The 475-nt window shown below is 47.8% G+C and overlaps 1 annotated feature.

The window, feature by feature from the left end:
• Positions 266-475: an enhancer, noted in NCBI's record as "active region_7429". NCBI's record gives its function as "activates an Ori minimal core promoter by ATAC-STARR-seq in GM12878 lymphoblastoid cells {active_cell/tissue: GM12878}" and the evidence as "EXISTENCE:reporter gene assay evidence [ECO:0000049][PMID:35858748]".

Here is a 475-nt window from a genome sequence, read left to right on the forward strand (position 1 = left end):
ATGTTACCCAGGCTAGTCTCGAACTTTTGGGTGATCCTCTTGCCTCAGCTTCCCAAAGTGCTGGGATTACAGGTGTGAGCCACCACACCTAGCCAAAAGCCACAGGTTACTGATACAGCACGAAGAACTTCACATAATTTAAACTAAAACAATGCTACTGTTTGAATGTGTTCCCTTCAAACTTCAGGTGTTGACATTTAATGGCCAATGTGATAATATTAAGAGGTGGCCTTTTAAAAGGTGATTAGACCATGAGGGCTCCTCCCTAATGAGTGGGATTAAGAGCCCTATTAAAAAGGTTTCACATGGCATTCAAGTCTTGTCTCTTCTGCCTTCTGCCATGTGAGGACGCAGAGTCCGCCTGCTCCAGAAGATGCAGCCACAAGGTGGCATCTGGGAGCAGAGTCGCCCTCGGAGACCACACACCTGCCAGCACCCTGATCTAACCTCCCAGCCTCCACAGAACTGTGAGAAA

The sequence above is a fragment of the Homo sapiens genome, chromosome 13 (genome assembly GCF_000001405.40).
Source record: "Homo sapiens chromosome 13, GRCh38.p14 Primary Assembly".
Lineage (NCBI taxonomy): Eukaryota > Metazoa > Chordata > Mammalia > Primates > Hominidae > Homo > Homo sapiens.